At 33.5% G+C, this 14,303-nt stretch overlaps 1 protein-coding gene across 59 annotated transcripts in view, besides 1 other annotated feature; it reads right to left on the bottom strand.

Annotated features, from left to right (window-relative positions):
• The window catches only part of ADGRL3 (adhesion G protein-coupled receptor L3), an 878,010-nt gene that overhangs the window by 686,834 nt on the left and 176,873 nt on the right, over positions 1-14,303 (bottom strand). For 36 of the 59 annotated variants that reach the window (NM_001387552.1, NM_001322402.3, NM_001387522.1 and 33 more), the window contains one exon: positions 8,313-8,378. The exons of 21 other annotated variants lie outside the window; for them this stretch is intronic. The gene's annotated coding sequence lies outside the window, so the exon portion shown is untranslated. Of the gene's footprint in view, positions 1-8,312; positions 8,379-9,554; positions 11,328-14,303 lie in introns of those variants that run through there. 2 more of the 59 variants (XM_017007930.1, XM_017007937.1) reach the window with 1 other exon arrangement.
• Positions 3,582-4,520: an enhancer, noted in NCBI's record as "OCT4-NANOG hESC enhancer chr4:62252700-62253638 (GRCh37/hg19 assembly coordinates)". NCBI's record gives its function as "activates a minimal SCP1, AML or CMV promoter by ChIP-STARR-seq in primed H9 embryonic stem cells {active_cell/tissue: H9 hESC(primed)}" and the evidence as "EXISTENCE:reporter gene assay evidence [ECO:0000049][PMID:30033119]".

The raw sequence follows: 14,303 nt of genomic DNA, 5'->3' as shown, positions 1-14,303 counted from the left end.
TGGTTTGGATGTTTGTCCCCTCCAAACATCATGTTGAAATGTAATCCCTAATGCCAGAGGTGTAGCCTGGTATGAGGTGATTGGGTCATGGAGGTGAATCCCTCATGAATGGCTTGGTACCCTTCTTGAGGTAAGGAGTGAGTTCTCACTCTGAGTTCACGTGAGATCTGTTTTTTTAAAAGAGTGTGGCACCACCCCCACCTGTGTCTCTTGCTTTCTCTCTGGCCATGAGCTACACTGGGCCCTCTTTGCCTTCTGCCATGACAGTAAATTCCCTGAGGCCCCCAGCAGGAACAGATGCCGGGGCCATGCTTCCTGTGCAGCCTGGAGAACTATGAGCCACAATAAACCCTTTTCTGTTTATAAATTGCCTTGTACTAGCAGTATTTTATAGGCGTACCAATGAACTAACACAATCTTTATTATCATTACAAATTAGAAATAACTCAAGTGTTTTTCAATAGGTAGATAAATGAACTGAGATACATCTATACAATAAAATATTAATCAGCAATTTAAAAAGGAATGAATTATTGGGGCACTCAACAACAGGGATGAACCTCAAAGGCATTATGCTGAGAAAAAGAAGTCAATCACAAAAGGCTACACATTGTACGATACATAGGAATGGAGAACAGACCAGTGGCTGCCGGGGAGTTAGGGGCAGAGGCAGAGTTTGACTACACAGAAGCAGCACTAGGGAATTTTTAGGTGATAAAACTGTTTTGTATCCTAATTGTGGTAAAAATTACACAATTCTCTACAGGTTTTCCATTTCATAGAATTTTCTACAGAAAACAAAGCATACAAACAAAAAGACTACAAGCATAAATACAGATGGAAAGGCAACAGTTGTGGTTGCATGGGTGTATCTATTTGTTAATTCATCAAATATTTACAATAACTAATTTTAAATGTATGTTCTCAAAAAATTTAAATGTATATTGCCAACTGAAAGAGAACAATGAACAAATCCCCCTCCTGCAAGAAAACAAAATGTCAATAGCTAATAATGCACTGTTTAGCTATGACACAAAACACCGATCTATAAATATTTATAGCTCAGAACAGACCTCATTCTATTCAACGTAGCATCCTTGATTCAGGCAGAAATAAGCAGCCTTTTTTGGACCATCATAATATTTTTTCAATGCCGTGGATTAGACACAGCTGTGGACACTTTAAGATAACTAAGGTCTGGTCAAGACAAGGATCAGAACACAAGATTTTGACTGGGCTACTGCTAGCTCAGGGTTTAGCCATAAAAATAAGAAAAAATAGAGAGTTAACAGAAAAATGAGTATGCACTCACTTTGTAACATAAAAATCTAGTAATAAACATTTATTTTAAAATAACTAAATTTTAAAATTAGTCATTATTTTAAAATTTAACATAAGTTTTAACAGATTTAGTGAGAAAAGCTATACACACCAAAAATACTGATCCAAATAATTGGTTATAACCTTTGTAAAATTCTGTTAAAAATGAATTTTATTTTTGTTTTGGAGGGAAAAAAAGTATTATTGTTGTTTTGTATACACTCCATTTGCTGTTCATGGCTTCACAGCCTGCTCTGTGGATTAAGTAGTAGCTGACAACTTTTGCTTTGCTCAACTGACTGGCAGCTATCATTCGAATGCCAGACTTATCTTTATGTAGATTTCTAAAGGTCACCATTTATGCATGTAAATTCTGAAGGGCACTAACTATATACAGCTGACAGATTCTGACAGCCACGATATCTCCAAGAGAGGAATAAGCAGGAATGACTGTCTGAATAATTAATGTGCTTTTACCCTGCCCATAGCCAGTTTTTACATCCCACACATTCTGACTGTGGTTTTGAAATTAATTAGAAAACATAATCTCATAGCAAACCAAAACTTCTTTTTAAATTTTCTATAAAAAAAAGGGGTAAAAAAGCGACACAATTAATGACCTTCAGTTTAAAGTGTAAATTTATAGAAATCACTCCTACCTAGAGATGAAAATTAACATCTGGCTCTGGATATTATTTCTGTAAAAAAACAGACATTACTATTTCTGTGAAGACATTACATCGTTACTGTATAAAAAGTGTATAAAAGCAAATAAGCAAAGAATTCTGCTCCCTACACTGCTCAATAAATGGCCCCATCACAAACAGGGTTGCCACTTTCAAACCTGCGACTCATTCCTGATTTCAACTTTTCTCTCACTACTCAAATGCAATCAGTCACTAAGACCTATCAACTGCCTTCTAAATAATCTTAAATGTGTTACTCCCACTCAATCCCCATTGTTGTTGTGTTAAACTGGATCTTTCTCATACCTCACCTGAGTTATTGCAAATATTTCCTGGGTAATCCACCTGCCTCCAGTCACATGATCATGCATGCTGCTTCCAGAGTTATCTTTCTAATATACAAATCCATGAGCAAAGCCAATGGTGCAATATAAAAGACACATAAAAACAGAAATTAAAAGGATGCTATAAAGAGGAAATATTTAGAATACATAAAATAATGGAAGGAGGCAATAAACAAATTTTGTGTAATGTGGTAATGTATGCTCTGGAGAAAAAATAAGGCAGGAGATGGGGGTAGAGGCTACTCCCAAACAGTTTCCATTTTAAATGGGAATGTGCAGGGAAGGCTGCCATGAGAAGAGAATACCTGAAGTCTAGGAAACAAGCCACATGAATAACTGGGAAGACTGATAGGTAGAAAGGCCCACACTCTTAGGTAGAGTGGCCTAGTGTGTTCCACACGCAGCAATGAAGCCAGGGCAGCTGGAGAGCAGAGAAGGTTGAAGATGGAACAGGTCTCCATTTGCTGTCTGTGACAACAGTGGAGCAAGGAAAACAGGAGGGTGATGTAATTATCCACACAGAAGAGGACTGTGATTTGGACAAAGGTAGTAGCCTAAGAGGTGTTAGAAGTGGTCAGACAGAATATGCTGATGGATGTGTGAGATAGAGGATTAAAGAACTACTCCAATAATTTGTGCCCAAAGAACTGTAAGAATGGAGCCATTAACCCAAACTTCTGTGAGAATGATGTTACTGCATAGGATTTCTTATTTTGAAAACTTTGGTTTCACCCTGTGTGTTTAAATACACTGAAAGAGGTCATTTCCTGTGGAAAATAGACCTTCTCCAGCACATCTTTCCTTTTGAGGCTCAAAAAACTGTAGTGTATTTTACAAACACTTACGTAGTCCTTAAGATAGGCATTGTTCTATTCTAAATGCTGTATGGTAGATCATATTGTTAACCCACTTATGCAGGTGAGGAAAGTGAAGCAAAGAGAGGATAGATACCATGCCCAAGGTCCTCTATTGACTCTGTCTTCAAAATTTGAGCTCTTTATCTCAGTTGTTTTGTGTATTTTATTATTAAAATGGAGTCCAGAGGCCCCCAGAGCTGATAGTGGGAGAGGGGTGGATGATGATGGATACGTTTGTTGTGGGAAGTCAGGGACCCCAAATGGAGGGACCCGCTGAAACCATGGCAGAAGAACATGGATTGTGAAGATTTTATGGACATTTGTTAGTTCCCCAAATTAATACTTTCATAATTTCTTATGCCTGTCTTTACTGCAATCTCTAAACATAAGTTGTGAAGATTTCATGGACACTTACCACTTCCCCAATCAATACCCTTGTGATTTCCTATGCCTGTCTTTACTTTAATCTCTTAATCCTGTCAGCTGAGGAGGATGTATATTGCCTCAGAACCCTGTAATAATTGCATTAACTGCACAAATTGTACAGCATGTGTGTTTAAACAATATGAAATCTGGGCACTTTGAAAAAAGAACAGGATAACAGCAATTGCTCAGGGAATAAGAGAGATAACTTAAACTCTGACCACCGGTGAGCCAGGCGGAACAGAGCTGTATTTCTCTTTCAAAAGCAAATGGGAGAAATATCGCTGAATTCTTTTTCTCAGCATGGAACATCCCTGAGAAAGAGAATGTGCACCTGGGGGTGGGTCTCTAAACTGGTCCCCCTGGGGCGTGGTCGTCTCTTATGGTCGAGGCTGCAGAGATGAAATAAACTCCAGTCTCCCATAGTGATCCCAGGTTTATTATGAAGAGGAAATTCCCACTTAATAAATTTTAGTCAGACCGGTTGATCTCAAAACCTCGTCTCCTGATAAGATGTTATCAATGACAATGGTGCCCAAAACTTCATTAGCAATTTTAACTTCACCTCGGTCCTGTGGTCCTGTGATCTTGCCCTGCCTCCACTTGCCTTGTGATATTCTATTACCCTGTTAAGTACTTGATGTCTGTCACCCACACCTCTTCGCACACTCCCTTCCCTTTTGAAAATCCCTAATAAAAACTTGCTGGTTTTTGTGGCTTGTAGGGTATCACGGGTCCTACCAACGTGTGATGTCTCCCCCAGATGCCCAGCTTTAGAATTTCTCTCTTTTGTACTCTGTCCCTTTATTTCTCAAGGCGGCCAACGCTTAGGAAAAATAGAAAAGAACCTACGTGATTATTGGGGCAGGTCCCCCTATATACGTTCTAGATCTTGATTTTGGTGATATTTTCACAACTTTATGTGCTTGTCAAAACACATTCATATGTTGCACGGACTGAATTCATTATATATAAAATAGATATCAATAAACCAGCCTTTAAAAAATACAATCTAGCAAATATAAATTGACACATATTGGAAATACATACATTTTGTCCAAATGAAGACTGAATTTCTCATATTATATAATCCATTCTAATACTTATTTTTTCTGATTAAGGCAGTGTTTTCTATGTCATCTTCTAAAAATATTTGCTGATAAAGTAATACATTTTTATTTGTTGCCATATTTTTCTCATGTGATTTCAGCCATTTTTACCACAGCAGAAAGAGCTACACTTTCTCTAATGACTTTATTCCTTCCCTGCAAGAAATCTCCAATAAGGCTTCTAAAGATTTATCACAAAGTTTAGTAAAAATTTGTAAATTGCTAGATTGACCATGAGTATAAACCCTGCTGAACAAAACCAGAGGTTTTACATGTATGTTCTAGATGTTAATTTATTACAAATCTTACTATTTATTTTGCTGTGTACTATCATTAACTTATACCTCAAAACAAAATATATTCTTAGGACAAGTTTAATCACTTAGAATTTAAGAGTCAAATCCATATTTCATAGTCTTCTTGATTATTTTAAGTTTTTGGCTAGCTCCTTAATAAATCTGAGTAGTGTTTATGTTATATAATGAAACTGAAAAATAACCTATAATAGAATTAGGGGAAATATCAGCTGCCATTTTCTTAATGTTGCCTTGGTCATGTATTAGTAAAATAATCTTCATTTTTCCAATTTTGACGTTAGGGCTACATAAAAGCGATTTTCTAGATGTGAGGACTCATTTAGTTAAAAATGATAGTAATTCCATAAATACACTTAACCAAATACATGCAACACGAGTACAGTAAAATACCCTTTCAAACAACCACCACCATCAAAATCCCAGTTGGTATGAATTCAGGAGTAAACTGAACAGATGAAAATAGCACTCACAGAGCTAACCTCTGCATTCCAGTTGTGGAGCAGTAAGTGAAAGAAAGAGATAGATACATACACATACACACACACAAACACACACACAGAAAATGTGAGTCTGTGTCTATACATATGCATATACATACACACATTTTTACATATTTATAAAACAACTAAATTTGGCAGCCATTCTTTTACAAAGTTGAATATATAATAGTTTATTTGGTACTTAATGTTGGTGAAATAAATCAATATACAAAACATGCTCAGGCAATCATCCTTTTTACAAAAATTAATCCAAACAAACTTAGATATGTTTGCTGTGGACATATTAAAAACTAGTGAGAAAGATGAAGTACTGCAGATACTATTGTGCACATTTTGAGAGTTCCTGACAGACTGCTGAAGAAAGAAAGGTGGGAGCAGTTCACTTCTGCTGGAGGCGCTGAAACCTTCAGAGAAGCTGTGAAATTCACGGAGGAGTTGTTGTGACAGGGAAGGTGAGGTTATACATTCCAGGCCCACACACTAGTTTGTGAAAGAGCAAGGGGTGGCCATTGAAGGATTGCTGTTTCCACTGTGGCTGCAGGATTACATATGTGGTGAGACAATGTTAGGAGAGGAGTCAGGCGAAGTTGGCTTGGAACAGTCTGTGAAGTATCATGTTTGCCTTACAAAAGCTTAATTTTCTATTCTAGAGGCCCCCGGAGTGTTCAAAAGTATTCAGGGGGATGTTGGAATAAAATTTCAGAACATCTCCTCATATTTACTTTCTTTATGAAAAATCAGAAAGCATTACGGCTAAATAATGTTTAATTTAATGACTGCCACAGGTCCCAAATATGAAGTTTATGGAGAAATCATAGGGATTGTTGCCCCGTTAAATGTTTGGCAGGTTTGTTTTCTAATATTTTAATTGAGATATAATTCATATACCATAAATTTACCATTTCAAAGTATACAATTCACTGTTTTTTAAACTATATTCACTAAGTTGTGCAGCTATCACTGCTCTCTACTTTCAGAATATTTTTATTTCCCCAAAAGGAAACCTTGTATCCGTTAGCAGTTACTTTTCATTCCACTCTTGCCCCACCCTCTGGCAACCACTAACATACTATCACTGAGGGTCTACCATATAAATAGAATCATATGTTTGGCCTTTTGTGTGTGTCTTTTTCAGTTAGTATAATGTTTGCAAGTTTCACCCTTGTTGTAACATGAATCGTTACTTCATTTCTTTAGGGCTGAGAGTTTATTAGCTTCTACTGGAGTGCTGATTAAAAAAAAGTAGAAAAGAGAAAGATTCAGTTGAGTTTTTAAACTTCCGTTAAATAAAAAGATTTTGCCTATGTTATTTGCATGGTTAATATATCTAGAAGGGTTAATTTTATATTGAAGAAACCAATGTAGTAATTATAGAAATGAATATAAATATTACCAGTGGATTTGAGGAATTTAACTTGCCAAAAAAGTAAGAATTTTACATATAAATAGAAAATGTATGTAAATTATTTATACATATATCTATTACACATAGTAATATAGTAGTATATTTTATAATATATAAATAAGCTAATAAATATAAATGAAAGAGTCAATCACATCTATTCTGAAAGAAGGAAATAATATTAATTGTTTGCAAATGTGACTGAGTGTGAAGAAGAAAACACTGACAAGAAATTCCAAATGAAAGAGATTCAATCATATCTCTTCTGTAAAACAGGAACAACATTGCTTGCATGTAGAAATAAATAGGGGGAAGAAAACAATGACAAAGAAATTAAGCAAAAATATTTAAAAGACAAAACATCAACTGGAAAACGTAGTGCACAGAAAGGCAAGTGCAATATTTTTATAGTTTTAAGTCACTCTTTACTCCTAAAGCTCAGAAAAAAGTACGGAATATTTGAAAATAGATGATAGCAATTAAAGTACATATCAATTATGTCAATAATTCAAAATGAAATGAACTTAAATCATTTTAATATGAAGACCAATAAGAAAGTTGATATTTCAAATATTAGGCTCTGTATTTATAATAATGTACATGCTAAACTTTACAAAGTAACTTTACAGGAATTACTTTCAGTAACTTCAAGAAAAGAGGAAATTCTCATTGAACTGTTGATTGATTAATATGTGGGCCTGTTTTGCCTTCTATGATTTTCTGGGGAAGATGTAAATATGGATATTGACTTAAAGTTACACTGCTTGAAATGCTGGACTTCATAAACATATTTCTGATAAATAACATAATTTTTAAAGTAATTTGCTTAATATTAAACATCGTGTTGCTACCAAAAGAATATATTTTATTACCTAATATTTATATTCAACATTATGAATTATGTAATTGAAAACTGAATGAATTAAAGAAAAATGACTTTAACACATTGTGTTAGTGTACATGTAGCAACTGAAAAAAACTCAATATGGTTATTCTACATTAGTTAAGAAAGTAATAAAACATACGTGCCTTTCTGAAAAGGTGAAGACCTACTAAAACTCTTATTTTTAGCTCATTTATTTTTCATATAACTGGAGTATATTTCCTCACAACAGCAATATTTTTAATTAGATCACTTATAATTTGTTCACAAGAAATATGATTTTTGGAAAATGTATAACAAGAAATGGCAATTTATTTTCCAAAAATATGTAAAATTCCATTTTAGTAACACATTACAAATATGCTGATGTTTCAATATGATAAAGACTCAAAATAATATATTAACTTGAATGTAAATATTTTTAAATAAATTTTGAAATTATATGGTTGGCAATAATAATCTACTAATTACCTTAATTTGCTCTTCAATTGCTAAAAATCCATGTTTTTTTCCTCCAATTTACCAAATTAAACATTTCTGAAAAAAAAGAAAAAAATATTTAATTTGATTATGAGAAAAATTAAATATTCTGTTTTATGGTTACAGTTGTAGAATGCTTTGAATATTTCCTGTTGGTTGTCAAGTCTATTATTTCCCACAATGCCTGAGGTCTCACAGCAGAACTATGGTATGTAGAGGAAATTTAGGATGCAGATGACACATCTTCCTAGACTATCTAATTTATTATAATGTTTACTGGGAAAATTGATGGATTTGGTAGCTACAGATTTCTTTTCCTAATTAAAAGACTATAACAGTTTTTAATATAAATTTTGCTATTTCCAAGAAATGTCCCTATTTCTTGCCACAGGCTCTTCAAGCTAAGATACTGGGATTGATTAGTCTTACCACTTTTGCCATTAGGTAACAGGCATAGAAAACAAATTGAGAAGCACCTTAGCACATCTAATCATACACATATACATACACACACCCTTATTTATGTATACAGACACAAATACTGTAATCTATTTATTCACAATAATCTAAATAAATTTGGATTTAAAAAATAGAAAGAAATAAACAGAAATGTAAGTTTATTTAAATGAAAGATTTATAGAGGCATTTGAGTTTTTATTTTCTTTAAATTACCATAATTTTTTAATTTTATTAAACAAATAATAAAACAGACTTTTTACACCCAGAAAATAGTATTATCGTTCAAAGTATTTTCTTTAGATATTTAATATTTTCTAATGGTTTTGCAACTGGCCATATCAATTTTTGAATGTTCTAGTATGTCTATTTAAAGAGCTTTACACAAAGCTCTTTAGTTTTAGTTACTAGTTTGTGACTACACAAAGAGCTTTACACAAAGCTCTTTGTATTAGTTAATTATTATTATATTTAGTATTTATTTATGCTATTAGTGTTAGTATGCAATCAGGAGGTTAAGTAACTACATACATGCTAAACAGTGACAAAATCCATTATCTATTCTAGAATTTTGCCCCCAAATGGATAAAGAATGAGATACAGGGCAGAAAGTCAATAGCATAAAATTAAAGTTGAGCTCTACTTTACCAAATCACTATTGATTAAAATAAGATATACTATGATATAAAATGAAAACAAATTAGTGAAAGCTATTCACTAATAAAAGCGTTATATTTTGTTCAGGAACTTAAAAAATATTAAAGCAATGAAACTCACTGTATCTTTTGGAGTGAGTGTCCACTTCTATTTGCCCAATTAGTGAGGTTTTTGTACCACAAGAACAATTCAAGTTCATACTTGAATGCCACACTTGACTGCTTGGGCAGGAAAAACAAATTTTTAATCAACTGCTTAAATTTCACTGGATGATCATTCTAGCATGCTCTCTCAATAATTATTGGCTGTCACTTTTTTCCCTGGTTTTTGAAGAACTGGCGTATCTCATCTTCAAATGTTCTACATATCTAAACAATCATGGGTTGTTCTCTACAGGTTTACCTACAATACCATCACCTTTAAGATCTTTTATTTTTTTCCCTCCCATCTGGGAAATACATTCTGACATCCAAGCATGACTAATTTCACAAAGTTCTCCCTGATACTACCAAACCCACTCCACCACAGATAAAACCAATCTTATCTTCCCTGACACTCCTATACCTCTTTGTACATTTCTCTATTTTGTTGAAAGCTACACTACAATATGAATTGCTAGAGAACAGAGACTGTGGCTTCTTCAATCTGTATCACCCCTCTCTAAGGAACCAAACACCTAACCGCGCCATGAAATGCTGACTGGGTAAACAAATCATTTCCATTTCTTAATTAAACACACACACACACACACACACACACACACACACACACACAAACTTGTTTATTGGAAACTGTCTGTATTGGCTGCACATAAATTGAGACCAAAAACAAAAGTACACTATTATATGTGTCTTTCAATTTCTTTGTATAGCTACCTTTATAGATTCTTTTTCTTTTTATAGGTAAGGACAGAGAGTCTTCCATTTACACTTTGGCTATTCAACATCTCAATGCCTTTCTCAATTACAGCCACTTATGACACTTGAGAGTCAGCAGACAGCTCCAACCAAGGACAGGCTTACATAGAGCCACTTAGCCTGCTAATGAGAAGGCAACCAGGTGTGAGGGAAAACACCAGAAAGAAAAAGGCGAGCAGGAGGGTGAAGAAAATAGAAAAGAAAACTGCAAGAAGGGCAGGAAAAGGTATTATATCAAATGATACTGTTCTATCAGTAAAAAGTAATACGACTGAATTTCTTTTGTAATTAAGAAACTTGATCTAAAAGGGATCTTTTAAAAGGAGCTACTAGAAATATTGTTTTGAGCAATGTGATTATTTAGGAGCAAAGCACTAAGGAAAGACAAAAAGTGTAATTTATTTTGGATAAAAATAAATGCCGGCAAATATATGTTCATAGCTTCATTACTTTATAGTTCCATATCGTTCGAAAGCGACATAAAAAGCAATGCACCAGAAATTATTGCAACTCACTCTAGGTCTTGAGAATTAGATGGAATTGTTTTGAGTTTGAGTACTAGATTGCTTTAATTAAAAATTAAAAGTTAAATTAATTTTTGCTTTAAATCAAACTTTGTAAAGCAATCACATATATAAGATCTCCAAAATGCAAAATAAAATAAAAATGACATTCAATTCATCAATTACAAAAAAACTGGAATACATGATAAATATGAATGTTCAAGGTACATTTTCTAATCCTAAAATGGAAAGTTTAAAAAGTAGAGAAACTTCATTGATTCATCAAATATTTACTCAATGCCAGGCACTGCTCTAGTTGGTATGAATTCAGGAGTGAACTGAACAGATGAAAATAGCACTCACAGAGCTAACCTCTGCATTCCAGTTGTGGAGCAGTAAGTGAAAGAAAGAGATAGATACATACACATACACACACACAAACACACACACAGAAAATGTGAGTCTGTGTCTATACATATACATATACATACACACATTTTTACATATTTATAAAATATATTACTATATTACTATGTGTAATAGATATATGTATAAATAATTTACATACATTTTCTATTTATATGTAAAATTCTTACTTTTTTGGCAAGTTAAATTCACATTTAACCTTTAAAACAATTCTCTGAGGTTGGTATGGATATTAGTGGCAAGGCCAGAATTTGAAGGCAAAAAAGCCAAATTCAGACTCTACATCCTCAAGCCTTTCAAATAACATACTGATTATTACTGCCTTTGTTTCTTACCGGGATGTTTATAACAAAAGACAGAAAATAAACTTCCCAAAATCAATATTTTAGAAAATGATCATCTCAGAATTTCATGACACTGATTACTGTTAGAAGACACTTTCACATTTTGGTACTAAAATAAGATTCCAGGAATCCCATTATAAATTAATGTGGAATTAAGATGGAAAATATGTTATTTTTTCAGTCCAAGTGACATTAATTCCAATATTATGTGGCATCACCTACTGAACTATCCAGTCAGGGTTCATGAGTCAATGAAGAAGTGACATGAACAAACATGTTTTTAAAAGACTATTGTGTTGTCAGTTAATTAGATGGCTTTCAGCCTAAGATGACAGTGATATTTTTTAAAAAGGTCAGTGTAATTGAGACTTAAAAAACAATACAACGAGTTAGAGAAATTTTTATGATGGAGTATCTTTTTGTCTACAAGAGTTAATCCTTAAATCATTCTTAGAACTAGACAGTTACATATTAGGTATTACTAATATAATTTTATGATTTGTAAAAAGAAGTATATGGCTTTCATATCCATCATTTCAATTTTTTTGGATGTTAAATAGGAAAATGTGAATCAATGATCTGAAAATAGACATAATTATCACATTTACGACAGTCCACCTCCACAACTAGGCCTTCAAATGTTATCTTTTTACTTATGATGGTCAAATCCTTTTTCCAACTACCCCCTTCAGGTCTCACCCGACTAGTCTATGGGTGATTTTCAAATATCTTCTACTTTGGTTTCTTATTGATAAGCATCATCTTGTGCCACCTCTCTCTAGATAGTGTTCAGATTGTTTTTTCATCTCTATTTCCAATATCATAATCCTCATCACTGTGTAAAATAGACAGAAAATAAATTTTCACCCTATTTTACAGATTAGAAAGCTATAATTCACGAATATTACCATGGTTATTACATAAATACTTTAAAGGCAAAAGTCCAAGACAATTTGTACTTCGTTCAACCACCTGCCACTAATCTTGTCTCACTGGTCTACACACCTCAATAGTACCTCTCAGAAGACCATTCAAGCCCCTCTCAAATCTGCCTCGCAAATGGTTCCCAGAACAACCTAAGACTTCATTTTTCTCATGATGATTTTCTGCTCAATAATCCACAAAAGCACTGTTTTATTTTTCACAGAGTCTGGTTTTCAAGAATTTATAAAGGATGAATACAATTTTTGTATTACAAACACCACTTTTTGACACCACCCTACTCCAAATAGAATTCCATAACAGCGAGCTTGGGTTGCTGACTGGCACCTCAGACAAGATTATTCTGAACAGAGTGGCTTGTCAGCTAATGTGATCCCCTGTACACTTGTTCAAAGTTTTAAACACTGTGCTGAAGTCTCATCCTCCGAAAAAATTAGGCTCAACTGTTTTTGCACAGACTCATCTCTATATGCTTGGTAAACTTTAAATCAGTAGTACAAAGTTTAGTCCTAAATGCACCCATATTTTCTACCTGTTAGCCAATGGCCCCAAGAAAGGGTACTCCATTATATAAAGTATCTGGGGGTGGAACTTTGAGAACGGCTAAATGAGTAGGCTGGCAAATGGTCTCCACAAAAATCAATGATAAAACTGGACAAAATTGCCAAAAACAACTGTTTCAGGACTATAGAAATTAGCCAGTCATTTAACAAATTAGGAAATGTTTATCAAGAAAAACTACTGAACTTCTGGTAAGAACAATGGGGGTCCTATGTCATTTTGCTTGGGAATTTTCCTGTCTCTCTCCCATCCCCAAATAGGCTTAATGTGAGATCAAAAAACAAATCTTAGTAAATATAAAAGGATGAAAAATCATATAAATTGTGTTGCCTAACCAAAACAGAATTAAATTAGAAATAAAAAGAAAAATAGATTTTGGAAATCCCTAAATATTTGAAAGTGTTAACATTTCTATATATCCCAAGGGTCAAAGATGAAATCACAAAAGAAATTAGAAAATATTTTAATTAAATGGAAGCAAAAGCACACCATAGCAAAATTTATGGGATGCAGTGAAAGCAGTACTCAAAGGCAAATTTATAGCTTTAAAAGCCTACATTAGAAAAGTAGGAAGATCTCAAATCAATAATCAAAGCTTCTACCTTAAACAAAGAGAAAAAGAAGAGTGAGCTAAATGCAAAGTGAGCAAAAAAAGAGGGAATGAAGGAAAGAATAGAGGAATAAAGGAAAGAAGGTGTAAACTTTACCAGAAGACCAATGTTAAAATGACTACTAATTATTTAAAATCTCACTGATTATTTATTTATGCTATGAAAAAAATCCCTCACCTTTTCTATCTGGTAGCATTTTCATTTTTAACATGACAAATAGATGAAATTACTCTTAAGCTTCTTCCTCCTTGAAAAACATATAATTGATTTTTTGGTAATACTCAACAGATCCATAAAGGACATAAAAATGTACAACAAAAAGGAAACTCACAGGTTATTATTAGGGGAAAAAATGCAGAAAATCCAGAGAATGATCCTCAAACCTTAGTCAATATATTACCCAACAATTTTGCTTATAGAAGGCTGAGTTTCATAAGTTTTGTTTACATAAATACTAAAATACATTATAATTGATGCAAGGAAGGGAAGAAATATATTGTGGTGACTATCAGTTTGCCTGTCTGCACATATAAGGTAGGGTAGGATAGGACAGGATAGGAGGATG

This window comes from Homo sapiens, chromosome 4, assembly GCF_000001405.40.
Source record: "Homo sapiens chromosome 4, GRCh38.p14 Primary Assembly".
In the NCBI taxonomy this organism is placed as follows: Eukaryota; Metazoa; Chordata; class Mammalia; order Primates; family Hominidae; genus Homo; species Homo sapiens.
The sequence above is the reverse complement of the archived record's forward strand: the minus strand, read 5'-3'. Positions and strand labels throughout refer to the sequence as shown.